We start from the raw sequence: 25,793 nt of genomic DNA on the forward strand, positions 1-25,793 counted from the left end.
GGCATAAGCCACTGCAACTAGTCAATGTGGAGACATCTTTTCATTAGGCAAATGTTTTTGTATCAGATGACGTCTAGTGAACCTTCCAATTCTGTGATTCTACAGTTCTGTACACCTGATGGCTAGTGACCACAGAAGCTACCAACTCCATTAAGCAATTCATTCTTCAGCCTGAGCATCCTAAATCCAGTCAAGCAGAGGACTGGAGAGACTCTATTCCAGGTAGAACAATGCAATATAGCAATAGAAACTGCTCTCTCTTCTTACCTTCCTCTTACCACAGATTCACTCTTAAAGATCTTCTCTCTGGAGAGATGGTCACTGACCAACAGTTTTATGGAAGGGGTTTTCAAAGTTGAATAGTAATTTGTTCAAAGATACATAGCTTTTGGTGGCAGAGCCCAAACAATAAGTTCCTCTGTTTGAGTTCAGTTCCTTGTCTATGACAGACAGAACGTAAATGGTAGACTTTGAATCATGTTCTGAAGAGCAAAACGACGGGAATATTTTACTGTGTCTGAGTCACATGCTGAGCCTTCGACATGGATTCATGTAGTCCAACTTCCAGTACCTATTTAATTCTAGAATGTTCCAGCTGCAGTTTTTGGAGTTGCCTAGCTGAAAGATTCTGAACAGAAAAATCCTAGACTTCTTTCCCTACATGTGCAACTCTTCTTTTTCCTCCTTTCTTCCAACTCAAACTTTGAGGTTCCATAACTATTTACATAATCAGACACTTTGTTTCAGAAACAGCACAACTAATGTCTTCATGAAGTAATACCTTGCAAATGCTCAAAACCTCAAAACATTGTTCAAACCTCTATTCGCACTCTCTCTTTTTCATGAAAAGAACAATTAAAGAGATTTTAGGGGGAGGATCTGGCACATAACACCCTTAACCACCTTTCAGGGTGTTTTCTTTGAAGAATATGATTACAGCTGTTCAAACTTTAAATTATTTACATTGAGCAAAAGCTTTGATTTTTAAAAGTCATATGACTTTATATAAACTAAAAAATGGCAAAGGATCAAAACTTGGCATTTTTCACAGACACATATTGCCCATGGGCTGTAGCCCCTGAAGGGTGCTCGCTGGGGCCTTGGATTGGTGGGAAATGATAAACGAAAACTGAAGAATGAGAATTTTGCCTATTGAGTCATAGTGGGTTGCAGCTGAGTTTGAAAACAGCAGGTCATCATCAGAAAGGTTTATGTGAAATCTAATGAATCAGAAAGAGAAAGCGAGGGGAAATAGTTTCTTTTCATACGGGGCCAGATTCTCATCTGATGTAAGTCTTGGAGAATTAGCCGACATATGGAAATTATCCCCATGTGGTCATATGGGATAGTAGTATGAGGAATCGTTAAAGGAACAGGAATATTTAGCTTTGCAAAGAGAAGATCTGGAAAGAGGGACAGATCCCTCTTTTCAAATATTTGGAAGGTTAGCATGTGGAGAAGGGAGTATTGTGTGTTGCTCTCAAGGGCAACACAGGGTCAATGAATAGACATTGGAAAGACAGGCTGTGGTTTAATATTCTCTTGTCTCCCAGTAGGGCCTCAGAGCATGGCTGTTTCCTCACAGCAAGATAGGCTTCTGTGGCAGGACAGGAAACTGTTTGTGGAGCCTCCCACTGGCAACTGGGATGGGAGTTGAGGAGACTGACCTAGCTCTTGGACTGACAGTAGAGTTTCAGCCTACCAGGCATGGCTTGACTCCAAAGGCAACGTCCATATGCAGTTTAGGCAAACAGGCAGCAAGGAGGAATGGAAGGCACCCAGGCTTTAGAGTTAGGCAGGTCTAAGTTGAAACCCTGGCCCTGTCATTTATTGTCTGTGTAAACTTGGGTAAGTTGCTTGGCTTCTCTGAGCTGCAGTTTCCTGATCTGTACAATGGGGATAACCTCACCTGTCTTAATGGACATCTGTTGTTTCTGTCTACTCAGCATTTCCTCTTCCTGCTTTAGTAGAAGCATCTTAATTTCTCCCAAGTCAAATAGAGCCTCAGTGTCAATCAAGATGACTTATCTACCATGGACAGTCAAGCTTTTCCTCCCTAGGATTTTAATCTTAAGCAGAGTGACCCAAGGATGAAAAGTAGTTGAAGTTTATTCCTTCTGAGGATGGCATTATAAAGAGGTGTCCATCAATTTCACCAGTTCCTGTGGCCTGAATTTCCTGAGTTTCGAAGTTGCTGCCTCCTTCTTGGGGCCTAGTTGTTCAGCTTCTTTTATTCTATGAGCCTCCTCATTTTCTTCTGATAGATTGTGTTTTTGCTTAAGCTAGCTGAATCAATTTCTGTGGTTTGCAAAAACAAAATAACTGTATCTATATTCCTACTTTAATAGGGTCACTGGGAGGATTAAATGAGAAAACATACATAATCTTCTGATATAGCCCCAATGTCTGGCACATAATGTGTGGTCTTTAATGGTAGCTTTTTTGACTATTGGGTACCGTGGGCCCAAGATGAGGGGAGAACAGTTCTAACAGGTGGATACATCATCTGGGATATCTATTCTCAAATATTAGGCCCCAGCAACTATCTGGTGTAAAGAACTTGTTAACCACTAAAGTTGGCCTGACCATGAGATTAGGTGGAACTTCCTAGCTCTGGAAGTAATCAAGCTTAGATTCAAGGCCCTCATCAGAAGGCCATAGAGAGGCTCTCATATTGAGACTGAGGCCTTTATGGTCTCTTCCAACTCTCTGTGATTCCAGGTAATGGATACTCCAACTGCAGTAAGCTAGTGTGCAGGGATGGGAGCCTCAGGTCACCCTAGCAGCCAGGAAACACTTTTAAATCCTGATTTTACTTGATCCCTTGTCATTTGGCATTGTTAATCATCTGTTCTTCCTAGCTTTCCTGTGCTACTCCTCCTTGCTGATTTTCCTCCTATCTCGTTGACAGTGCCTTTTCATGTGATGTTCCCTCTGCTCTTAATGCCTTTCTTTACTTCAACCATCAGGCTAACTCCTATTTGTCTTTCAAGATTGAGCTTAAGGCCTCGGTCTATCCTGAAGCCTTCCATCTCACCCTCGTCACACTAGCCTCCCTTCCTCCTCCTCTCCCCAGTGTGCTTCAGTACCCTCTGTTCCAGTAGTTAGCACACCAGGTTTTCATAGCTAATTCCATGCCCCCCACCCATCTTACCCATAGGAAAAAGACCTTACACCATACTTTTGGGTCTTATTTGGTGTGTGTTTGTGTGTGTGTATGTGTGTATGTTGGATGTCATTTTTCTTTTTGTTTTAAACAGGCTCTCATTTTGTTACCCAAGCTGGTGGCATGATCTTGGCTCACTATAGCCTTGACATCCCAGGCTCAAGCAATTTATGGAGAGATGTGCTTTCACCATGTTGCCCAGTCTGGTCTTGAACTCCTGACCTCAAGTAATACACCCTCCTTGGCCTCCCAAAGTGCTGGGATTACAGGTGTGTGCCACCATGCCCAGCACCAGTTATTCTTATAGTTGGAAACCCAATTAATGCAAATGTACCCAAATGGGGCAGATTGAAAACTTTTTAACGATTCCAACTTACCTGACTTTACTGGCAAGGAACACAGTCAGGACCTAGATAGTGATTCAACCTGAGAGGCTAGTGAGCAGACAGATGAACCAGATTGACTGAATATTTCAAGCTGGCACCTTAGTTTCCTGCCCTAGGTATCTCCATCTTTAGATAATTTTCAACGTGTTTTCCCCAGAATCAGAGATTACAGGATAGTTCATGTAAAGTACATTTGAACGTGCATATCCTGGTCTTACACAAACTGTCCCAACTCAAAACTTTTGCCACTTGAGCCCAAGGAGAACAGAACATATTATGTAATTATTTTGCCTTCATTAGTTAAGGGATTTGTAACATGATTAGTTGTTTTCATCTCTGTAGTCCATAATTTTATGCCTAACTTTAAAACAAAGCCAAAAGCAAAACTCCCACTAGCATGGCTTTATTCAGTCCGAGTTTGTTTTCTTGGTCATTTGTGATCCTCCCTACTGATGAAGAATGTGATAGTTTCTCACCATAATGTGTACCAAAACCAGAAACATTTAGAAGACTTGTAATTACTCTTACTAGTTAAATTAATCTTAGTTCTTACATTAGAGAAAAATGTGCCTCTCCTTATCCTCTGAATTATGAGCTCCCAGGATAAGGGCTGTGGTATAGGGAGAGGTTGGGACATTAGTGTCTCTCTCCTGTCATCCCAAGCTTCAGTCTTACCCATGCCTCAGAGAAGGAGCAGGGTGAAGCAGGCACTGGCCTGTCCACCAGGGCACATTCAGATTGTCAGAAGGAAGGTTTTCCTGCCTGAGCACACACCCTGAGTGCCCACCCTCAGCAATAGTACTGGGCATGGGCCCATCAAGGAAAAAGGAGAAGAGTGTTCATGTTTCTTCCATAAAACAGGCCTGCTCTGGGTTTCTGGGAACTGCAGGATTTCATCTCTGTCCCACAAGTCATGACACCTGCAGCAGCCAAGGAGCTGTTTGCCAGAAGGAAGCCAGGCTGTTTTGCTAGGATGAGAGAAGACTTGGAGATAGCTTATAAAATGGAAAGACACATGAGAGTTGTCTTCAAAAGAGATTAGGCTAATTCTCCATGGTCACATGAGGCAGAACTCCAGGGTAGATCTATTTCCACTCAATGTGGTGGATATCTTTCTATCCAACAGAGCTGTTCAAAGAGGAAAAGGGCTGTCTTGGAAGGGACTGTGCTCTCTCTCCCTGAAAAGCTTCAGCCAGACACTGGGAGCCCACCTCATGGAGAAGTAGAGGGGGGACCGTAGAAACCTGGGGAGTGACTGGGCTACAAGACCATGGAGATTCCTTTCTTCCTCAAAAATGTAAGAAACCACAGTCTTGGAGCCTGTCAGAGAAGAAGAATAAATTATCTTTTTCTTAAAATATGTTTGTGGGATCTTCATGAGCGTGTTAGGGAACATCAGAGTGATTTTGATCATTAACCAAAGAGAGCCCACTAAAAGAAAAACATACACATTGCCATAGTAAGCTGGCAGGAGTCTGAGATACAATCCCAGATTCACAGTGCATTCGACACACACTAGACAGCATCTAGAACTATTTTTATCAGGTATTCTGATTTGCCTGCTATGCACACAGCACTATTGTAGGTATTGGAAGAGTTACAAGATGTTTATGGCCCAAAGAAAGTGTAATGTATATGGAGAAAGACATTTTTACTAACCCAAAACTTAAAATCAACATTGAGAAAATTGTGAACATATCCAAATATGAAAGAAAAGGGAGCAATCAAAGAGGATCTCAGCTGTAACTTAAAAGGTTAGGCTTCCCTGGGTCCCTTTCATACCTGCATTTAAGTGTCCTACGGGTGTGGGCCTATAATGTGACAACCCACATCCCCTTCTTGTTCCTCCCCTGGGCCTGATCAGGGTTTGAGGTAGGGTGAAATGACGAAGATCTCTCTTCTTGGTGGAGGATTTTGCTTTCACACAACAATATTTTAGTTGATTATAGTAGCTCATGAAAATACTTGACTTCACTCCACTGATCTCTTTCTTCTTATGCCCATATTGCTTTATTAATACTTGGCCTCCACTTCCCCACAGACTGGCACAGAGGGCAATCATGGGACAGGCAGCGAAAGTGCCTGGAGGAAGACAGAAAACAGTTTCTACTCCCCACACCCATAGGATGTGCCTCTACTTCCCACTGTCCAGGTGATGTTAAGCCTCACAATGCCAGATGAAGCCAGGGAAAGTGTCCAGGCCCAGTGGTCTTCTATCTGACTGTGCTAAACACATGGACATGCACATTATGAGTACACACACACACACATGCACACACACTTTTACATTAATGTTTGAGAAAAATAATACTTTGTTAAATCCAGTCACATTTCAACCAAATACCAGAGGACACATTTCCAAAGCAGAAGTTGCTGCTTGATTTTGTAGACTTTTAGATCAGATGTAGAAAAACACCAAGACTACAGGGCTTATATTCCAGAGAGGGTCATGAGAAGGAAGGAAGGTGTAAGCCGGGAAGAATGCTTGACAAACAATTTCAATGGAGCTTTGTATTTTCAAAGAAGTTTTAAATCATGAAGCAGCCCACCCAGCTATCCTGAAAAAATAGGTCAGCACAATATTTTCACAGGTGAGGAAACTGAGATACAGTGTTCAGTGGCTCACCCAACATGTATGAGTAGGGTAGAAACACAATTTATGAATTTCCATCTGGAGACTCAGTCAGCTAGGCTGTCTTATTCCCAGAAAGAGAAAATACAAGCATTTAGCAAATTTTATATTTTTATATGCTAACTATGCTAAAGCACCACTGCTGTAGACCAAGAAATCTCGAGGTGATAGCATACCAAAGGGTAGGGTTTGAAGCTCATGATTCTTCTCCAACCTCGTTTCCTGTTCAAATGCTCTTTTGTTGGGATATAGTGGCCGAAGCTGTTGCTGGAGAATCAGGAGGACTGGATTCTAGGATTAAGCTGTATGACTTCTCTTTTTTTTTTTTTTCTTTGAGATGGAGTCTCGCTCTGTCACCCAGACTGGAGTGCAGTGGTGCAATCTCGGCTCACTGCAACCTCCGCCTCCCGGGTTCACGCCATTCTCCTGCCTCAGCCTCCCGAGTAGCTGGGACCACAGTTGCCCGCCACCATACCTGGCTAATTTTATTTTTGTATTTTTAGTAGAGACAGGGAAGCTGTATGACTTTTCAAGAGTCATTTAAAATTTCTTAGACTTGCTTTTTCATCCTCAAAAGGAAGGTAATACTTTTGAAAGTTATTTGAAAAATGGAAAAAATAAAAATAAAAAAGTTAAATTGCCCATCATTCCACTGCACTTTTTGAAGCATATATGTATACATAAAAAGAAGTGGCACTGGGGCAGGCACAGTGGCTCACACCTGTAATCCTAGCACTTTGGAAGGCTAAGACAGGAGGATCACTTGAGGCCAGGAGTTCGAGATCAACCTGGCCAACATGGTGAAACCCCATCTCTACTAAAAATAAAAAAAATTAGCCAGGTGTGGTGGCTCAAATTTGTAGTCCCAGCTACTTGGGAGGCTGAGGCACAAGAATTGCTTGAACCTGGGAGGTGGAGGTTGCAGTGAGTCAAGATAGTGCCATGGTACTGCAGCCTGGGTGACAGAGAGAGGTTCTGACTCAAATAAATAAATTAATTAATTAATTAAATTAAATAAAAATAAGAAGTGGTACTTCCCCCTTTCTAGCACAACAATACCATCCCAAAGCTTGATTCATATCTTTCTAGGCTCATATAAATTCACAATTATATAAATATGCAAAATTTCTATTTTTGTGATTTTTTATTTATTTTTTATTTTTTTTAAATTTATTATTATTATACTTTAAGTTTTAGGGTACATGTGCACAATGTGCAGGTTAGTTACATATGTATACATGTGCCATGCTGCTGCGCTGCACCCACTAACTCGTCGTCTAGCATTAGGTATATCTCCCAATGCTATCCCTCCCCCCTCCCCCCACCCCACAACAGTCCCCAGAGTGTGATGTTCCCCTTCCTGTGTCCATGTGTTCTCATTGTTCAATTCCCACCTATGAGTGAGAATATGCGGTGTTTGGTTTTTTGTTCTTGCGATAGTTTACTGAGAATGATGATTTCCAATTTCATCCATGTCCCTACAAAGGACATGAACTCATCATTTTTTATGGCTGCATAGTATTCCGTGGTGTATATGTGCCACATTTTCTTAATCCAGTCTATCATTGTTGGACGTTTGGGTTGGTTCCAAGTCTTTGCTATTGTGAATAATGCCGCAATAAACATACGTGTGCATGTGTCTTTATAGCAGCATGATTTATAGTCCTTTGAGTATATACCCAGTAATGGGATGGCTGGGTCAAATGGTATTTCTAGTTCTAGATCCCTGAGGAATCACCACGCTGACTTCCACAATGGTTGAACTAGTTTACAGTCCCACCAACAGTGTAAAAGTGTTCCTATTTCCCCACATCCTCTCCAGCACCTGTTGTTTCCTGACTTTTTAATGATTGCCATTCTAACTGGTGTGAGATGGTATCTCATTGTGGTTTTGATTTGCATTTCTCTGATGGCCAGTGATGGTGAGCATTTTTTCATGTGTTTTTTGGCTGCAAAAATGTCTTCCTTTGAGAAGTGTCTGTTCATATCCTTCGTCCACTTGTTGATGGGGTTGTTTTTTTCTTGTAAATTTCTTTGAGTTCATTGTAGATTCTGGATATTAGCCCTTTGTCAGATGAGTAGGTTGCAAAAATTTTCTCCCATTTTGTAGGTTGCCTGTTCACTCTGACGGTAGTTTCTTTTGCTGTGCAGAAGCTGTTTAGTTTAATTAGATCCCTTTTGGCTTTTGTTGCCATTGCTTTTGGTGTTTTAGAAATGAAGTCCTTGCCCATGCCTATGTCCTGAATGGTAATGCCTAGGTTTTCTTCTAGGGTTTTTATGGCTTTAGGTCTAACGTTTAAGTCTTTAATCCATCTTGAATTGATTTTTGTATAAGGTGTAAGGAAGGGATCCAGTTTCAGCTTTCTACATATGGCTAGCCAGTTTTCCCAGCACCATTTATTAAATAAGGAATCCTTTCCCCATTGCTTGTTTTTCTCAGGTTTGTCAAAGATCAGATAGTTGTAGATATGTGGCGTTATTTCTGAGGGCTCTGTTCTGTTCCATTGATCTATATCTCTGTTTTGGTACCAGTACCATGCTGTTTTGGTTACTGTAGCCTTGTAGTATAGTTTGAAGTCAGGTAGTGTGATGCCTCCAGCTTTGTTTTTTTGGCTTAGGATTGACTTGGTGATGCGGGCTCTTTTTTGGTTCCATATGAACTTTAAAGTAGTTTTTTCCAATTCTGTGAAGAAAGTCATTGGTAGCTTGATGGGGATGGCATTGAATCTGTAAATTACCTTGGGCAGTATGGCCATTTTCACGATATTGATTCTTCCTACCCATAAGAATGGAATGTTCTTCCATTTGTTTGTATCCTCTTTTATTTCCTTGAGCAGTGGTTTGTAGTTCTCCTTGAAGAGGTCCTTCACATCCTTTGTAAGGTGGATTCCTAGGTATTTTATTCTCTTTGAAGCAATTGTGAATGGGAGTTCACTCATGATTTGGCTCTCTGTTTGTCTGTTATTGGTGTATAAGAATGCTTGTGATTTTTGTACATTGATTTTGTATCCTGAGACTTTGCTGAAGTTGCTCATCAGCTTAAGGAGATTTTGGGCTGAGACAATAGGGTTTTCTAGATATACAATCATGTCGTCTGCAAACAGGGACAATTTGACTTCCTCTTTTCCTAATTGAATACCCTTTATTTCCTTCTCCTGCCTAATTGCCCTGGCCAGACTTCCAACACTATGTTGAACAGGAGTGGTGAGAGTGGGCATCCCTGTCTTGAGCCAGTTTTCAAAGGGAATGCTTCCAGTTTTTGCCCATTCAGTATGATATTGGCTGTGGGTTTGTCATAGATAGCTCTTATTATTTTGAAATGCATCCCATCAATACCTAATTTATTGAGAGTTTTCAGCATGAAGCGCTGTTGAATTTTGTCAAAGGCCTTTTCTGCATCTATTGAGATAATCATGTGGTTTTTGTCTTTGGTTCTGTTTATATGCTGGATTACATTTATTGATTTGTGTATATTGAACCAGTCTTGCATCCGAGGGATGAAGCCCACTTGATCATGGTGGATAAGCTTTTCGATGTGCTGCTGGATTCAGTTTGCCAGTATTTTATTGAGGATTTTTGCATCAATGTTCATCAAGGATATTGGTCTAAAATTCTCTTTTTTTGTTGTGTCTCTGCCTGGCTTTGATATCAGGATGATGCTGGCCTCATAAAATGAGTTAGGGAGGATTCCCTCTTTTTCTATTGATTGGAATAGTTTCAGAAGGAATGGTACCAGTTTCTCCTTGTACCTCTGGTAGAATTCGGCTGTGAATCCATCTTGTCCTGGACTCTTTTTGGTTTGTAAGCTATTGATTATTGCCACAATTTCAGCTCCTGTTATTGGTCTATTCAGTGATTCAACTTCTTCCTGGTGTAGTCTTGGGAGAGTGTATGTGTCAAGGAATTTATCCATTTCTTCTAGATTTTCTAGTTTATTTGCATAGAGGTGTTTGTAGTATTCTCTGATGGTAGTTTGTATTTCTGTGGGATCGGTGGTGATATCCCCTTTATCATTTTTTATTGCGTCTATTTGATTCTTCTCTCTTTTTTTCCTTATTAGTCTTTCTAGCGGTTTATCAATTTTGTTGATCCTTTCAAAAAACCAGCTCCTGGATTCATTAATTTTTTGAAGGGTTTTTTGTGTCTCTATTTCCTTCATTTCTGCTCTGATTTTAGTTATTTCTTGCCTTCTGCTAGCTTTTGAATGTGTTTGCTCTTGCTTTTCTAGTACTTTTAATTGTGATGTTAGGGTGTCAATTTTGGATCTTTCCTGCTTTCTCTTGTGGGCATTTAGTGCTATAAATTTCCCTCTACACACTGCTTTGAATGTGTCCCAGAGATTCTGGTATGTTGTGTCTTTGTTCTCATTGGTTTCAAAGAACATCTTTATTTCTGCCTTCATTTCGTTATGTACCCAGTAGTCATTCAGGAGCAGGTTGTTCAGTTTCCATGTAGTTGAGCGGTTTTGAGTGAGATTCTTAATCCTGAGTTCTAGTTTGATTGCACTGTGGTCTTAGAGATAGTTTGTTATAATTTCTGTTCTTTTACATTTGCTGAGGAGAGCTTTACTTCCAAGTATGTGGTCAGTTTTGGAATAGGTGTGGTGTGGTGCTGAAAAGAATGTGTATTCTGTTGATTTGGGGTGGAGAGTTCTGTAGATGTCTATTAGGTCCACTTGGTGCAGAGCTGAGTTCAATTCCTGGGTATCCTTGTTGACTTTCTGTCTCGTTGATCTGTCTAATGTTGACAGTGGGGTGTTAAAGTCTCCCATTATTAATGTGTGGGAGTCTAAGTCTCTTTGTAGGTCACTCAGGACTTGCTTTATGAATCTGGGTGCTCCTTTATTGGGTGCATATATATTTAGGATAGTTAACTCTTCTTGTTGAATTGATCCCTTTACCATTATGTAATGGCCTTCTTTATCTCTTTTGATCTTTGTTGGTTTAAAGTCTGTTTTATCCGAGACTAGGATTGCAACCCCTGCCTTTTTTTTTTTTTTCCGTTTGCTTGGTAGATCTTCTTCCATCCTTTTATTTTGAACCTATATGTGTCTCTGCCCGTGAGATGGGTTTCCTGAATACAGCACAGTGATGGGTCTTGACTCTTTATCCAATTTGCCAGTCTGTGTCTTTTAATTGGAGCATTTAGTCCATTTACATTTAAAGTTAATATTGTTATGTGTGAATTTGATCCTGTCATTATGAGGTTAGCTGGTGATTTTGCTCATTAGTTGATGCAGTTTCTTCCTAGTCTCGATAGTCTTTACATTTTGGCATGATTTTGCAGCGGCTGGTACCAGTTGTTCCTTTCCATGTTTAGTGCTTCCTTCAGGAGCTCTTTTAGGGCAGGCCTGGTGGTGACAAAATCTCTCATCATTTGCTTGTCTGTAAAGTATTTTATTTCTCCTTCACTTATGAAGCTTAGTTTGGCTGGATATGAAATTCTGGGTTGAAAATTCTTTTCTTTCAGAATGTTGAATATTGGCCCCCACTCTCTTCTGGCTTGTAGAGTTTCTGCCAAGAGATCCGCTGGTAGTCTGATGGGCTTCCGTTTGTGGGTAACCTGACCTTTGTCTCTGGCTGCCCTTAACACTTTTTCCTTCATTTCAGCTTTGGTGAATCTGACAATTATGTGTCTTGGAGTTGCTCTTCTCGAGGAGTATCTTTGCGGCATTCTCTGTATTTCCTGAATCTGAATGTTGGCCTGCCTTGCTAGATTGGGGAAGTTCTCCTGGATAATATCCTGCAGAGTGTTTTCCAGCTTGGTTCCATTCTGCCCGTCACTTTCAGGTACAACAATCAGACGTAGATTTGGTCTTTTCACATAGTCCCATATTTCTTGGAGGCTTTGCTAATTTCTTTTTATTCTTTTTTCTCTAAACTTCCCTTCTCGCTTCATTTCATTCATTTCATCTTCCATTGCTGATACCCTTTCTTCCAGTTGATCACATCGGCTCCTGAGGCTTCTGCATTCTTCACGTAGTTCTCGAGCCTTGGTTTTCAGCTCCATCATCTCCTTTAAGCACTTCTCTGTATTGGTTATTCTAGTTATACATTCTTCTAAATTTTTTTCAGTTTTCAACTTCTCTGCCTTTGGTTTGAATGTCCTCCCATAGCTCGGAGTAATTTGATCGTCTGAAGCCTTCTTCTCTCAGCTCATCAAAGTCATTCTCCATCCAGCTTTGTTCCATTGCTGGTGAGGAACTGCGTTCCTTTGGAGGAGGAGAGGCGCTCTGCTTTTTAGAGTTTCCAGTTTTTCTGCTCTGTTTTTTCCCCATCGTTGTGGTTTTATCTGCTTTTGGTCTTTGATGATGGTGATGTACAGATGGGTTTTTGGTGTGGATGTCCTTTCTGTTTGTTAGTTTTCCTTCTAACAGATAGGACCCTCAGCTGCAGGTCTGTTGGAGTACCTGGCCCTGTGAGGTGTCAGTCTGCCCCTACTGGGGGGTGCGTCCCAGTTAGGCTGCTCAGGGGTCAGGGGTCAGGGACCCACTTGAGGAGGCAGTCTGCCCATTCTCAGATCTCCAGCTGCATGCTGGGAGAACCACTGCTCTCTTCAAAGCTGTCAGACAGGGACATTTAAGTCTTTAGAGGTTACTGCTGCCTTTTTGTTTGTCTGTGCCCTGCCCCCAGAGGTGGAGCCTACAGAGGCAGGCAGGCCTCCTTGAGCTGTGGTGGGCTCCACCCAGTTTGAGCTTCCTGGCTGCTTTGTTTACCTAAGTAAGCCTGGGCAATGGCGGGCGCCCCTCCCCCAGCCTCGCTGCCGCCTTGCAGTTTGATCTCAGACTGCTGTGCTAGCAATCAGCGAGACTCCGTGGGCATAGGACCCTCTGAGCCAGGTGTAGGGTATAATCTCCTGGTGTGCCGTTTTCTTAAGCCCGTCAGAGAAGCGCAGTATTTGTGTGGGAGTGACCCGATTTTCCAGGTGCCGTCTGTCACCCCTTTCTTTGACTAGGAAAGGGAACTCCCTGACCCCTTGTGCTTCCCGAGTGAGGCAATGCCTCGCCCTGCTTCGGCTTGCGCAGGGTGTGCGCACCCACTGACCTGTGCCCACTGTCTGGCACTCCCTAGTGAGATGAACCTGGTATGTCAGATGGAAATGCAGAAATCACCCGTCTTCTGCGTCGCTCACGATGGGAGCTGTAGACCGGAGCTGTTCCTATTTGGCCATCTTGGCTCCTCCCCCTCATTTTTGTGATTTTTTTAAATAAAAAATGGAATCACACTGTACGTGTTGTTCTGAAACTGCTTTTTTTTTAAAAAAAAATTAACAATATGGAATTATTCCACTTCACCCTGATCCTGTTTTGGTGTTTGCAAAATATTCTATTGCATGGATGATACCTAATTTGTCTAGCAATCTTTTTTAATGGGCTTTTGTAAGGTCCAAAGAAGACAGTACATGAGACAGTGCTTCGTGAAACCACAAGTCATAGTTTTTGAATATAGTGCATTATTTTGACTGTCAAACAAAAATTTATAACATAACTACACTGGTTTTAGCTTCTAAGCTCTAAATGTAAACACTCTTGATGTACAAAGGGAGAAGTAATATGCTGCCTGCAATGCAGAATCACCATCACCATCGTCATCTGGAAATCTGATTTATTGCAGGGGTTTAAAATGAACGATTGATAATCGAATGTACAGTGAAACATGTAATAGGTCGTTGCTGGGAGGTGAATCCATTTTTATTCAATGGGTAGCCCCTATTTATTCAGCTACCTTATATTCTAAAATAAATTTTTAAATTCCCACACCTTGCCCTTGTAAGTACAAATGAATTGAAGGCTAAAACTATAAAGTGAAGTGTGTGGAAAAAAAAGGTGTACTGATGTCATCTGATACAAAGAGTAAAATGAGCTTTTTTGTTTTGTTTGTTTTGTATGTATGTCTCTATTATGCTTGTGTTATTTTATTTTAAATTATCCCTGAACTAGAAGTGGAGCATTAGCAGGTCTTTTGTCAAGAGACAGAAATTGTAATTTTTATTAAGAAAACAGAAATGGAATTTCTAACCTGATATGCTATTTACAAATTAAAATAAAATTTTCATCAATAAGCCTGCTTATAAGGGGAATATGTGGGTCTTAATTTTCCGAGTACACTAAGAATGATTAATTGGACAATTCTCTTCATTATGTCTATGTAAACATAAGAGGTGGTATACAACAGAATTTGCCTTACTACAGTGACTTAGGGAAAGTGGTGACAGCTAATGGAACCTTCTCCTAAAGACAGGGTTGAGATATACAGTTTATAATCTGCTTAATAAACAATGTAGTCCTCTTTCTTGTCTAAGGACTGAAGGACAGAGGGAAGACAGCCTCTGCTACTACCCACCACTCTGTAAAAGTTCCAAATTGTAGGCTGTGGGTTAGATCTCTGGGAACATGCCCTTCAGTGGAAGGAGAATCACAACTGCTGCAGCAGAGTTTAGACCACTGCCAGCCAACCTATGGACACATGGCAGCCATCCATTGATGGTGATCGTGGTTCTCAGCCTTCATTCCTCCATATCACACGATAGATGTTGTTCACAATCTCAGGTTGTGAATACAGACATACACAGGCTGTAGGTGCTATCCCTGGCACATTCTCTTTGCCTACTAGTCAAGAAAACATGTCAGAATGCAATGGAAATGAAGGTTACATTAATATAGGGATAGTTTGTAATCTCTTCTGATGTGCAAAAACTTTGGCATTTTGTGCACACCCAATCATGACCCACCAATGTGTCCCAGTGCAATAACTCAGGACCACTGGACAAGGTAACTGTTTAGATCTCTGGACATATTACATCTCTGACTCTATGAAAGATACACAGATCCCAGCCACAACTAGGAAGTAATTCCTCATAGAATTTTGATTAACTAGAGTGATTTTGTACAGAAACATCCAGAAGGCTGGCTCAGAACTGGGCCTTCTCTCCCACACATGAAACACAACATTTCCTAACAGGTGGCCTAGAGAAAACTTCCCTCTGCTCCCCCACCCTGTCCACAAATTCCAAAAGACTTACTTGCTTCTGGCTGAAACTGCGTTTACATAAGATGGTTACAGAAAATAGGTGGAAACTCAGTTCTGCAGCATGTAAAAGTGCATCCATGGAAAAGTCGACAGAGGAGAGGATCCAAAAAGCCAACAAGAACAAGAATCAAATAACTGAATACCAACTGTCCCTTTTCTGGTCATTCTCATTTTCTTTGGTTCTAGGTCACTGAATAAAAGTTTTTCATGATAGTCTCTTCTCTCTAATTAAACTTATCCAGAGACAGTGCTAAAAATGTGCCTCTGGAAAGCACATTTATGGTGTTATCCTCACCCTGGGAGAAGGGAAGAATGGAGTTCTTTGCATTGAACTCTCTCCTGACCCCACAAATATCTTTTCACAATTGGTGGACATTTATACCCCTCTTGTTGACTTTTGTCTCTGTTGTCCTGTTGAACGCTGATCTCATTGCACTTAAACGTTCACCCATGCAAGGGAAATGTCACTAAATGCTGCTGCTTGCTGAGCTGTTGATTTTGCATTGGATAGAGCACTGTGATAATGGCCCACTGAGCTAATCTTCACAGGAAAGAAAGTTACACTCATGTGGTTACTCTCCCTCTGTAAAGCAGATCTGTATTTAGTCTTCTGTTTCTGAAACTTGAAGGCACATGTCATAAAAATGTTCTGCATATAAATGAAATAATGTAAAGCAATTATGATGCTTGTTAAGAATGCAATGATTATGAAATGTGGAGTGTTAATGAATAAAATATATTTTAACTTGTTCAAAATGATTTGCCTCTTTTCTGAATTCAATGTGTGCAACAAAAATAAGAAAAGATGCTATATTGAAGTAGTGCGTAAAGGCCAGAAACCTTAACACCACAGAGTCGAAAGCCAAAACCCAAAAAGTCAAGTTCACTGTTATCTATTCATATTCGCTGTCGATATGGTTCAAATTATTGGGTTAATTGACAGATCTCCACTTTACTTCAGGCTGTATAGATGGAGCTTTGTCAAAATTAGATGCTTCATAAATGGCTCTTTTGATGTTATCTTTGAATTCATCTCCTTACCAAAGAAGGGCTATTAAAGCAGCTTCTACAGTGTCAACAATGTTTCCAACCAAAGTAAAATAGCTAAATGCTTAATGGGCCCAATTCTCTGCAGAAGCGTCTGTTCACCAACCCCCTGAGGCAAAGCTGCTGAGAATAAGGATGTAGCAACCTCTAGCACTACAGGAGCCACAGATAGGCATGGGGTAGAGACAGGCGAGGGAGTAGATGGAGCTTTTTCCCATCTCCCTTCAGGGCACTCTGCAGTGACAATGGAACTATGAATAATCAACTTCATTCATGACCTTAGAGCACTCAACCTGTCAGGGCAACCCATGCTCTTCCTCCTTTACACCTCCATTCTCTCCAACCTCCAAACCACCTCTCCCATTTGGCCCCTGTCTTTGCAACCTATTGGCAAAGAACATTGACATATCACCCAGGAATCCTTCATCTTCCGGCCGCCATGCTTACAAACCATTGTCCATCTACAGGCATCTTCCTTCTGCTAGCTAAGGTAAACCCCTCCATCTGGACTTTGCAGCCCATCCCTTCATGACTTCTCAGGGGCTTTATACCACTGTCAAATGCAACCTCCCTTTTCTCTTCTATATTCAACTGAGTCCTATAAATTGTAGTCTTCTCTCTGACATTAAATACTGAAAATGTCATTCCAACAGAGTAGGCTTGTTTTAATATATGTATGTCCCAAACATTGCATGGGATATATTTATACTGAAAAAGTATTTGCTGTTTATCTGATATTCAAATTAAATTGGGCATCCTGTATCTTTATTTGCTAAATATGGCAACCACACACTAGAGAGATCTTTCTTGACAACCCACTGCAGAAAATAGTACTATTTTCTGCAACAGTTTCTATCACCTTTATTTGTCTTCATACATGATCAACACTGGGCATAGCATACATTTATATGTTTGCATACTGTCTGTGTCTCTCCACCTCCCACTATAATGTAGGGCCCATGGGAGCAGGAGCTTTCAAAATTCTCTGTCACATCTCCACTGCCTAAAACAGGGTGTAGCATGACATTAAGGTTTAATTAATATTTTTGAATAAATCCTGAGTTTCTCTTATTTTAAAATAATTGTCACTTAACACCACAACCTCTCTAGCTCTACTCCTTTATTTCTCCCTCCCACTTCAGAATCAGATTTTTTTAAGAGTTCTTACCATTCACTGTCACTATGACTTCATCTCTCAATTCCGTCTCTCCTTACTCCATTCTGGCTCTGCTTTTATCATTCCACCAAAACAGCTCTGGATAAGGTCACCAATTACCTCCTTTTGTTAAATCACTTGGACTTTTTTTAACCCCCATCTAATCTCTCAAGATGTGATGTTATAAACCACTTCCCACTTCATGAAATAAACCCCCTGTTTCACTGGCAATGCACTCTCCTGGTTTTCCTCTTAACTCTATAATCACTCCCTTGTTAATTTGTCCTTCTCTACCTGGCCATTAACATTTGGAGTTAGGCCAGGCTTGGTGGCTCACATCTGTAATACCAGTACCAGGAGTATGAGATCAGCCTGGGTAACATAGTGAGACCCCTATATCCACAAAAAAATTCTTAAAAATAGCCAGGTATGGTGGCATGCACCTGTAGTCCTAGCTATACCAGAGGCTAAATCAGGAGGATTGCTTGAGCCCAGGAGTTTGAGGCTACAGTGAGCTATGATCATATCACTGCACTCCAGCCTGGGTGACAGAGCAAGACCATGTATTTTAAAAAAAAGAAACAAAAACAACACTTAGAGTTAGTTGAGGCCTATTCTTTCTTCATTCTATGTTCTCTCCCTGGGGTAATATCATCTATGCCCATGGCTTCAATGACCATTTATTTGCTGATGATTCCCAAAATTTGTTTATCCAGCCCAAAGATTTTGGAGTCATCGGCAAATAAACTCAATTGTCTAAGACTGAATTTAAGACATCCTCTGCTCACCCTAACCCCGGTTGTCTTCTGTTGTTTCACATCTCATTGAATGACACCTTCATGCATCTAAAGGCACAAACCAGAAAACTAATGGTCATCCTGGGCACCTGTAAATCTCATTTCCCAAATAGTTCTTGAATCTATTCATTTCTCTGTATCTCCATAGTCACCTAGTACAAAAAAGTGTTACCTCTCACTAGACACTACAATAGCTTCTTAACTAAAAAAGCTATATTCATTGACTCAGATCTCCTTCCAATCTGTTCTCTACATTTAGAGGTAATGTGATTATTTTTCCCCTGTTGAAAATTCTTCATTGGTTTCTTAGGGGCCCCCAATCTCTCTTTTCAGTTTTACCCCTGCTACTGTCTTGATCTCTCAGCTGCAGCAACACTGGCCAGGAATTGGTTTCTTAAATGCAACCATACAACTATATTGAGAGGGCTAGATGAGAAACTAATTATGAAATAATGAGGCTCAAATAGTGAGGTAGTGAGAAATAACACTGCATATGAAAATCAGCCATCTGGCCAGGCGTGGTGGCTCACGCCTGTAATCCCAGCACTTTGGGAGTCTGAGGCAGGTGGATCCCGAGGTCAAGAGATGGAGACCATCCTGGCCAACATGGTGAAACCCCGTCTCTACTAAAAATACAAAAATTACGCGGGCATGGTGGCGGGCGCCTGTAGTCCCAGCTACTCAGGAGGCTGAGACAGGAGAATCACTTGAACCTGGGAGGTGGAGGTTGCAGTGAGCTGAGAGACTCTGTCTTGAAAAAAGAAAGAAAGAAAGACAAAGAAGAAAGAAAGAAAGAAAAAGAAAGAAAGGAAAGAAAGAAAGAAAGAAAATCAGCCAAGAAAGAAAGAAAGAAAAAGAAAATCAGCCAAGAAAGAAAAGGAAGAAGAAAGAAAGAAAGAAAGAAAGAGAGAAAGAAAGAAAGAAAGAAAGAAAGAAAGAAAGAAAGAAAGAAAGAAAGAAAGAAAGAAAGAAAGAATCAGCCATCTGTCATCTGCCAAAACCATCATATAAAATTTAGGGTCAAACGGTCCTTCACATATCATCTCGTCTAATTCTCTCCCCACAAATAAGAAAATGAGGGCCCAGAGAGAAGAGACCGACCAAAGTTGCACAGCTATTTAGTGGCAGAGCTAGGAATAAGCCTTCAAACTCAATAATCAATAACTTTGTCAATGAAAAAATTTTTAAATTTTTTTTAATTTTTAAAATTGTATTTCAATAGTTTTTGGGGAACATGGAAAAGTGGTTGCACGGAAAAGTTCTTAAGTGGTGATTTCTGAGATTTTGGTGCACCCATCACCCGAGCAACATACACTGTACCCAATGTGTAGTTTTTATCCCTCACCCCGCTCCAAGCCTTCCCCCAGAGTCCCCAAAGTCCATTATATCATTCTTATGCCTTTGCGTCCTCATAGCTTAGTTCCTGCTTACAGGTGAGTACATACGATGTTTGTTTTTTTCCATTCCTGAGTTACTTCACCTAGAATAATGGTCTCCAACTCCATCTGAGTTGCTGCAAATGCCATTATTTCATTCCTTTTTATGGCTGAGTAGTATTCCATGGTGTATATACCACATTTTCTTTACTTGTTGGTTGATGGGCATTTAGACTGGTTCCATATTTTTGCAATTGTGAATTTTGCTGCTATAAACATGCTTGTGCAAGTGTCCTTTTTCATGTAATGACTTCTTTTCTCTGGGTAGATATCCAGTAGTGGGATTTCTGGATCAAACAGTAGTTCTACTTTGAGTTCTTTTTAAAATATCCATACTGTTTTCCACAGTGGTTGTACTAGTTTACATTCCCACCAGCAGTGTAAAAGTGTTGCCTTTGCACCACATCCATGTCAACATCTGTTTTTTTTTTAATTTTTTTTATTATGGCCATTCTTGCAGGAGTAAGGTGGTATCACATTGTGGTTTTTATATGCATTTCCCTGATAGTGATGTTGAGCATCTTTTCATGTTTGTTGGCCATTTGTATATCTTCTTTTAAGAATTGTCTATTGATGTCCTTTGCCCACTTTTTGATGGGATTATTTGTTTTTTCCTTGCTGACTTGCTTCAGTTCCTTGTAGATTCTGGATATTAGTCCTTTGTCAAATGCATAATTTGTGAAGATTTTCTCCTTCCCTGTGGGTTGTCTGTTTACTCTGCTGATTATTTCTTTTGCTGTGCATAAGCTTTATAGTTTAGTTAAGTCCCATCTATTGATATTTGTTTTTGTGGCATTTGCTTTTGGGTTTTCTTCTCATGAACTCTTTGCCTAAGCCAATTCAACAAGAGTTTTACTGATGTTATCTTCTAAAATTTTTATGGTTTCAGGTTTTAGACTTAAGTCTTTTATTTATCTTGAGTTGATTTTTGTATAAGGTGAGAAATGAGGAGCCAGCTTCATTCTTCTACATGTGGCTTGCCACTTATTCCAGCACTATTTATTGAATAGGGTGTCCTTTCCCCCACTTTATGTTTTTGTTTGCTTTGTTGAAGATCAGTTGGCTATGAGTATTTGGCTGTATTTCTGGGTTCTTTATTCTGTTCCATTGGTCTAAATGCCTATTTTTATACCAGTATCATGCTGTTTTGGTAACTGTAGCCTTGTAGTATAGTTTGAAGTCAGGTAATGTGATGCCTACAGAGATTGTTTTGTTTTGTTTTTTTGCTTAGTCTTGCTTTGGCTATGCAGACTCTTTTTTTGGTTCCATATGAATTTTAGGATTGTTTTTTCTAGTTCTATGAAGAATGTTGATGGTACTTTGATGGGAATTGCATTAAATTTGTAGATTGTTTTTGGTAGTATGGTCATTTTCACAATGTTAATTCTACCCATCCACGAGCATGGGGTATGTTTCCATTTGTTTGTGTCATCCATAATTTCTTTCAGCAGTGTTTTGTAGTTTTCTTTGTAGAGATCTTTCACCTCCTATTTAGATACTTTCTTAAGTCTTTTTTACTTTTTGCAGTTACAAAAGGAATTTAGTTCTTTATTTGATTCTCAGCTTAGTCATTGTTGGTGTATAGCAGTGCTACTAATTTGTGTACATTGATTTTGTATCCTGAAACTTTACTGAATTCATTTATCAGTTCTAGGAGCTTTTTAGATGAGTCTTTAGGGTATTCTAGGTATACGATCATATCATCAATCAACAGTGACAGTTTGACTTCCTGTTTACCTATATGGATGCCCTTTATTTCTTTCTCTTGTCTGATTGCTCTGGTTAGGACTTCCGGTACTATGTTGAATAGAAGTGGTGAAAGTGGGCACCCTTGTCTTGCTCCAGTTTTCAAGGGGAATGATTTCAACTTTTGACCAGGTTGAAAAAGCCTACTATAGACAGGTGCCAGCATGTGGATGGGGCCAGTATTGGGGCCTTGTTTGGACAATTGATCAGCATATAAGCAAACAACAGGGTTTAGAACAAACCAAATAAAAGTCCACCTTCTGAGTCTGACACATAAGCTACCTGGGATTTTCACAAGGACCTTCTTCCTTCTTCCTTCTTCCATGAGTACTAAAAATAATCAACTGGGTGTCCACTGAAAGTTACAAAATGAGGGAAATAGACTTAAGCACTACTATTTCCTCACAATTAGGCAAAAGTATCATCAGAAAGATCCTAGTCCATTTCCTTTTAAAGGAAATCCGAAACTATAGAGCACAATTCATACCTTGAAACCAAAGTTGTCATTCAACTACCAGGGGAAGCTTCTGGAGGACTCTTCTATTGAGATCAAGGGAGGCTGAGTAAATACCCTGTGTATGCTTATCACTATGGGCACTGAAGTGTAAATGAGTATGAAAGTTGCCTTTTGGTGTCAAAAGACCTTACAAGATTCTTTTCCAAATGGGATTGGAATTATTAGTAAATTTGTTGAGCTGAAAGGCACTGTTTATCAGCTGTAAGTATTTTTAATTGGTTTCCAGGGAACACCTGTGTTAGGGTTATAAGCATCAAAGGTGATAAACAACCTAATTATCCTCCCAGAACCATTAGGAAAAAGTATCACTGTTGGTGAGCTTTCTTTGATGCCTTCTTTTGAAAGGCCATCCTGCTACTATTGTGGGGCTATTTGTAGTTTATCTCCTGGAGCTTTCATGCTCCCTTCATACATAGAAAAGGCTGTTAGAAGTAGATTAATGAAATTAATAACATTTGCACCACTAGTCAAGTGTATCTTAAGCTACCATTGGACATAGCACCTCCTTGGAGAAGTAGCAAGTTAGAGATAATCAGAAAACCACAGAAGAATTTTAAGAGATAGGGGCAAAAAACATATGAGAAGGTATAAAGGCCTTGGTACAGCACCTATTTCTTTATCATGGTGGTTTCTGAGAAAAGAGAGTTGCCAATCCAGGAGGCTGTTTCAGGGAGAGAAGGAGAGAATTTTGGATTCTAGATTCTGTTTATTTTCAATAATTTTCTTTAAAAATTATTTTTTCATGAAGATAATTTGGTACATGAAGGCAGACTATGATAGCAGTGTTAACAGACCAGACTGTACTCCAAATACCTTTCTTATGATTGCACCTTTTGAGAATGATTTTTTTTTTCTTTCTAGAATCCTTTATTCCAATACAGTGTCCTTGGGAGGGTTTTAAAAAGTCACTGCTATAACAGAGAACAATAACCTTTCTACAGAAGACAAGGAACAATCAGGATACAAGATTTGAATAGAGGCCAGAGATGGACTTTTCCTAATTCAGTTTAGCTCAGGACTAACACTGAGTTACTTAGAATTTTGATCTTACCACCCTCTCTTATTCTCTATCATATGGAATAATTTACTGGCTCACACTTTCACTAGTTGAAATGTCTTTTTACCTGGCAGAAAAGAATTAAAAATTATGTTTTGAACTCCTCAAGAAGAGGTGCTATAGAGATTCAGGGGAATTCACTATAATCATTTTTAAGTACTTTGTGTTTTAAAAACTGCTGACTGTGATGAAAATCACAGAGCTGGAAAAGGACCAAAGGAAGCCATTCCTGTCTCACTTCATGAATGAGGAAACTGAGGCCCATCTGTGACATGAAGCGATGAGCTCAGGGCTCTTGCAAACTACCCCATAGCCTTCTCACTTGATTCTGCTGAGGGAAATCGTGCACCATGGTTGAGACTAGGATCATGTTAAATCACTGTCTCCACATGATATCTTTGGTATTGGATAGAATTAAAGGGAAGCACAGTGGCCACCATCCTTTCAGACCTGCCTGAAATTGGCAATCTACCAACTAGGCCAAACATTAATTTCCCCAAACCATTGTGAAGCATGAAATGTGATATCACAATAAAAATGTCAGTTAGACATTAAAATCAGAACTTAAAAAAATACCTAACTTAATTACTTTGGATTTAAACAGAGAATAGAGCAACTGAATACTCCATTGGCGTGACTTGATCCAAAAGGGGTAGGACCTTGTTTTAGCACCAGTGGGTCTGTTAGCATGGGGCTCCGAGCTTGTGTCAGGGCTTGTCTCCCTTCACATTTATCTATACCATCATCAATTACCCCTTCTCCTTCTCCCTTGTCCAACTGGTAAGCTTTAAGTTCTTTCTGAATGTTGGTGGGAATTTTTTATTGAAAAACAAATGGTCCAACCATATCCTTTTATATAACACAAGCTTTAAAAAAGGAGAGTGTATATGTGTTTCAATCTTATAATTTCATAGTTGATTTGTGGTATCTTTTGGCTCCAGGAAGGCATTTTAAGAATCCTAGTTATCCAGTAACAGGCTCTGAAATTGAGGCAATAATTAATAGCCTACCAGCCAAAAAAAATCCATGACCAGACAGATTCACAGCCGAATTCTACCAGAGGTACAAGGAGTAGCTGGTACCATTCCTTCTGAAACTATTCCAATCAATAGAAAAAGCTTCATCCATGTCCCTACAAAGGACATGAACTCATCCTTTTTATGGCTGCATATTCCAATCAATAGAAAAAGAGGGAATCCTCCATAACTCATTTTTTGAGGCCAGCATCATCCTGATACCAAAGCCTGGCAGAGACACAACAAAAAAAGAGACTTTTAGACCAATATCCCTGATGAACATCGATGCAAAAATCCTCAATAAAATACTGGCAAACCGAATCCAGCAGCACATCAAAAAGCTTATCCACCATGATCATGATAGATTTACCGTCTGGTAAATTCTGTCTGTCAGTGTTCGTGATGGTTGTTTTCAAACTCACAGGATTATGGTAGCTTGATACAACCACCTTGAGAAGAATAAATAATGGTTTTTTTAGTGAGTAAATCTCATATTTAAGAATTCTGCATCTCCAAAATACCACCCCCAAGTTTTCCTCGAGCCTTTTTTCTACCCTAAATACAACAAAGAGATAGAACACAAGTTCACCAGTAACCATGGCTCTCTGTGACAACGACTTTGCAGATTCCCTTAAGGGAGCACTTTCATTCCTAGAATATTTGCCCTGATTTACTTATGTAGTTGTTTTATAAAATAATCATACCCATGATTATTAAAATGACTAAAATTAATAGAAGGATTGTTATCCCAGCATCTTTCTTCTCAGCCAGTCCAGGGTTAGGGCTTCAGGTTCAGATCAAACCTCAATACTTGTAGAAGGCAAAGCTGCAATCCAAGTAATTTCTGTCTCAGAAGATTTTATTTCTTTTTTGTGGGGGAGATTTTTCATCTCCACTTCTTACTTCTCAGCTACCCCCTAATCATTTTATGTCCCAGATTAGCCCAGAGCAACCTCATTGTATAATACCATCTGACCAGTGTCTGACCTTCCTAAGGAGTTCGTCTCACTAATGTCATCCTACCTCCTTTACTGAAACTATAACTTGCCAGATCATCAACATTCTTAGCCAAATTGTGTATCCCATATCCATTTCCTTAAGATCTTGTAGATAGTCAGTAAGAGACTTAGTAAACCAATACACAGTAAGGTTACAGGGGCAATATCTTATAGCTCTTAAGAGTATGTGATTTAAAGTCAAACTGTAGTAACTGGAACTTTGTAAGGGCTCAATAAAGCAGAGCTATTATTATTGGATTGTTATTGTTATCAATAACAACAGCAGCAGCAGCTATACTGCTAGTATACTGACCGTCTTCTCCAAGTAGTATTGTTTTTCTAGAGGCTTTCAATGATTTTTCCCTTTAAAGGGAGGATTGTGAAGTTTCTGTTTCTAGCTTCGCATTAAGGGTACGGTCTTGTTGAGATTTTTTTCAATCCTTCTAATACCTCTCCTGTCCTGTACGGAAGGCTAGGCCTGCTCATGTTTATTGGGGTCTCCAGCCTGGATCAGTTACAAGCTGCAGGAAGGGCTGGAACATCATATGGCAGATAAAGACCTGGCTAAGCCAGGTAGCCTAGAGTGTGGCCACTTCAAGTCTCCTTACTTCCTCTTTTCTCAAGAGCCCTAAGCTCCAAAGCTGAGATTCATTAGGCATCCTTAAGCTCCATGTAGGATGAGCAGACAAGAAAAGTAAGGAGTTTCCTTTCTCTAACCCCAGGAATTTTGATATTCCACATGACAGAGTTTTCAAAAAAAGAAGAATCCTTTCTAATGTGTGTGTGTGTGTGTGTGTATGTGTGAGCAAG

The 25,793-nt window shown here is 40.1% G+C and overlaps 1 long non-coding RNA gene across 2 annotated transcripts in view, besides 1 other annotated feature; it reads left to right on the plus strand.

Annotated features, from left to right (window-relative positions):
* LINC02932 (long intergenic non-protein coding RNA 2932) overlaps positions 1-25,793 on the plus strand; it is a 204,101-nt gene that overhangs the window by 70,816 nt on the left and 107,492 nt on the right. The window lies entirely within an intron of this gene.
* Positions 16,116-16,706: an enhancer, noted in NCBI's record as "NANOG hESC enhancer chr7:91027571-91028161 (GRCh37/hg19 assembly coordinates)". NCBI's record gives its function as "activates a minimal SCP1, AML or CMV promoter by ChIP-STARR-seq in naive H9 embryonic stem cells {active_cell/tissue: H9 hESC(naive)}" and the evidence as "EXISTENCE:reporter gene assay evidence [ECO:0000049][PMID:30033119]".

Source organism: Homo sapiens, chromosome 7 (assembly GCF_000001405.40).
Source record: "Homo sapiens chromosome 7, GRCh38.p14 Primary Assembly".
NCBI lineage: Eukaryota > Metazoa > Chordata > Mammalia > Primates > Hominidae > Homo > Homo sapiens.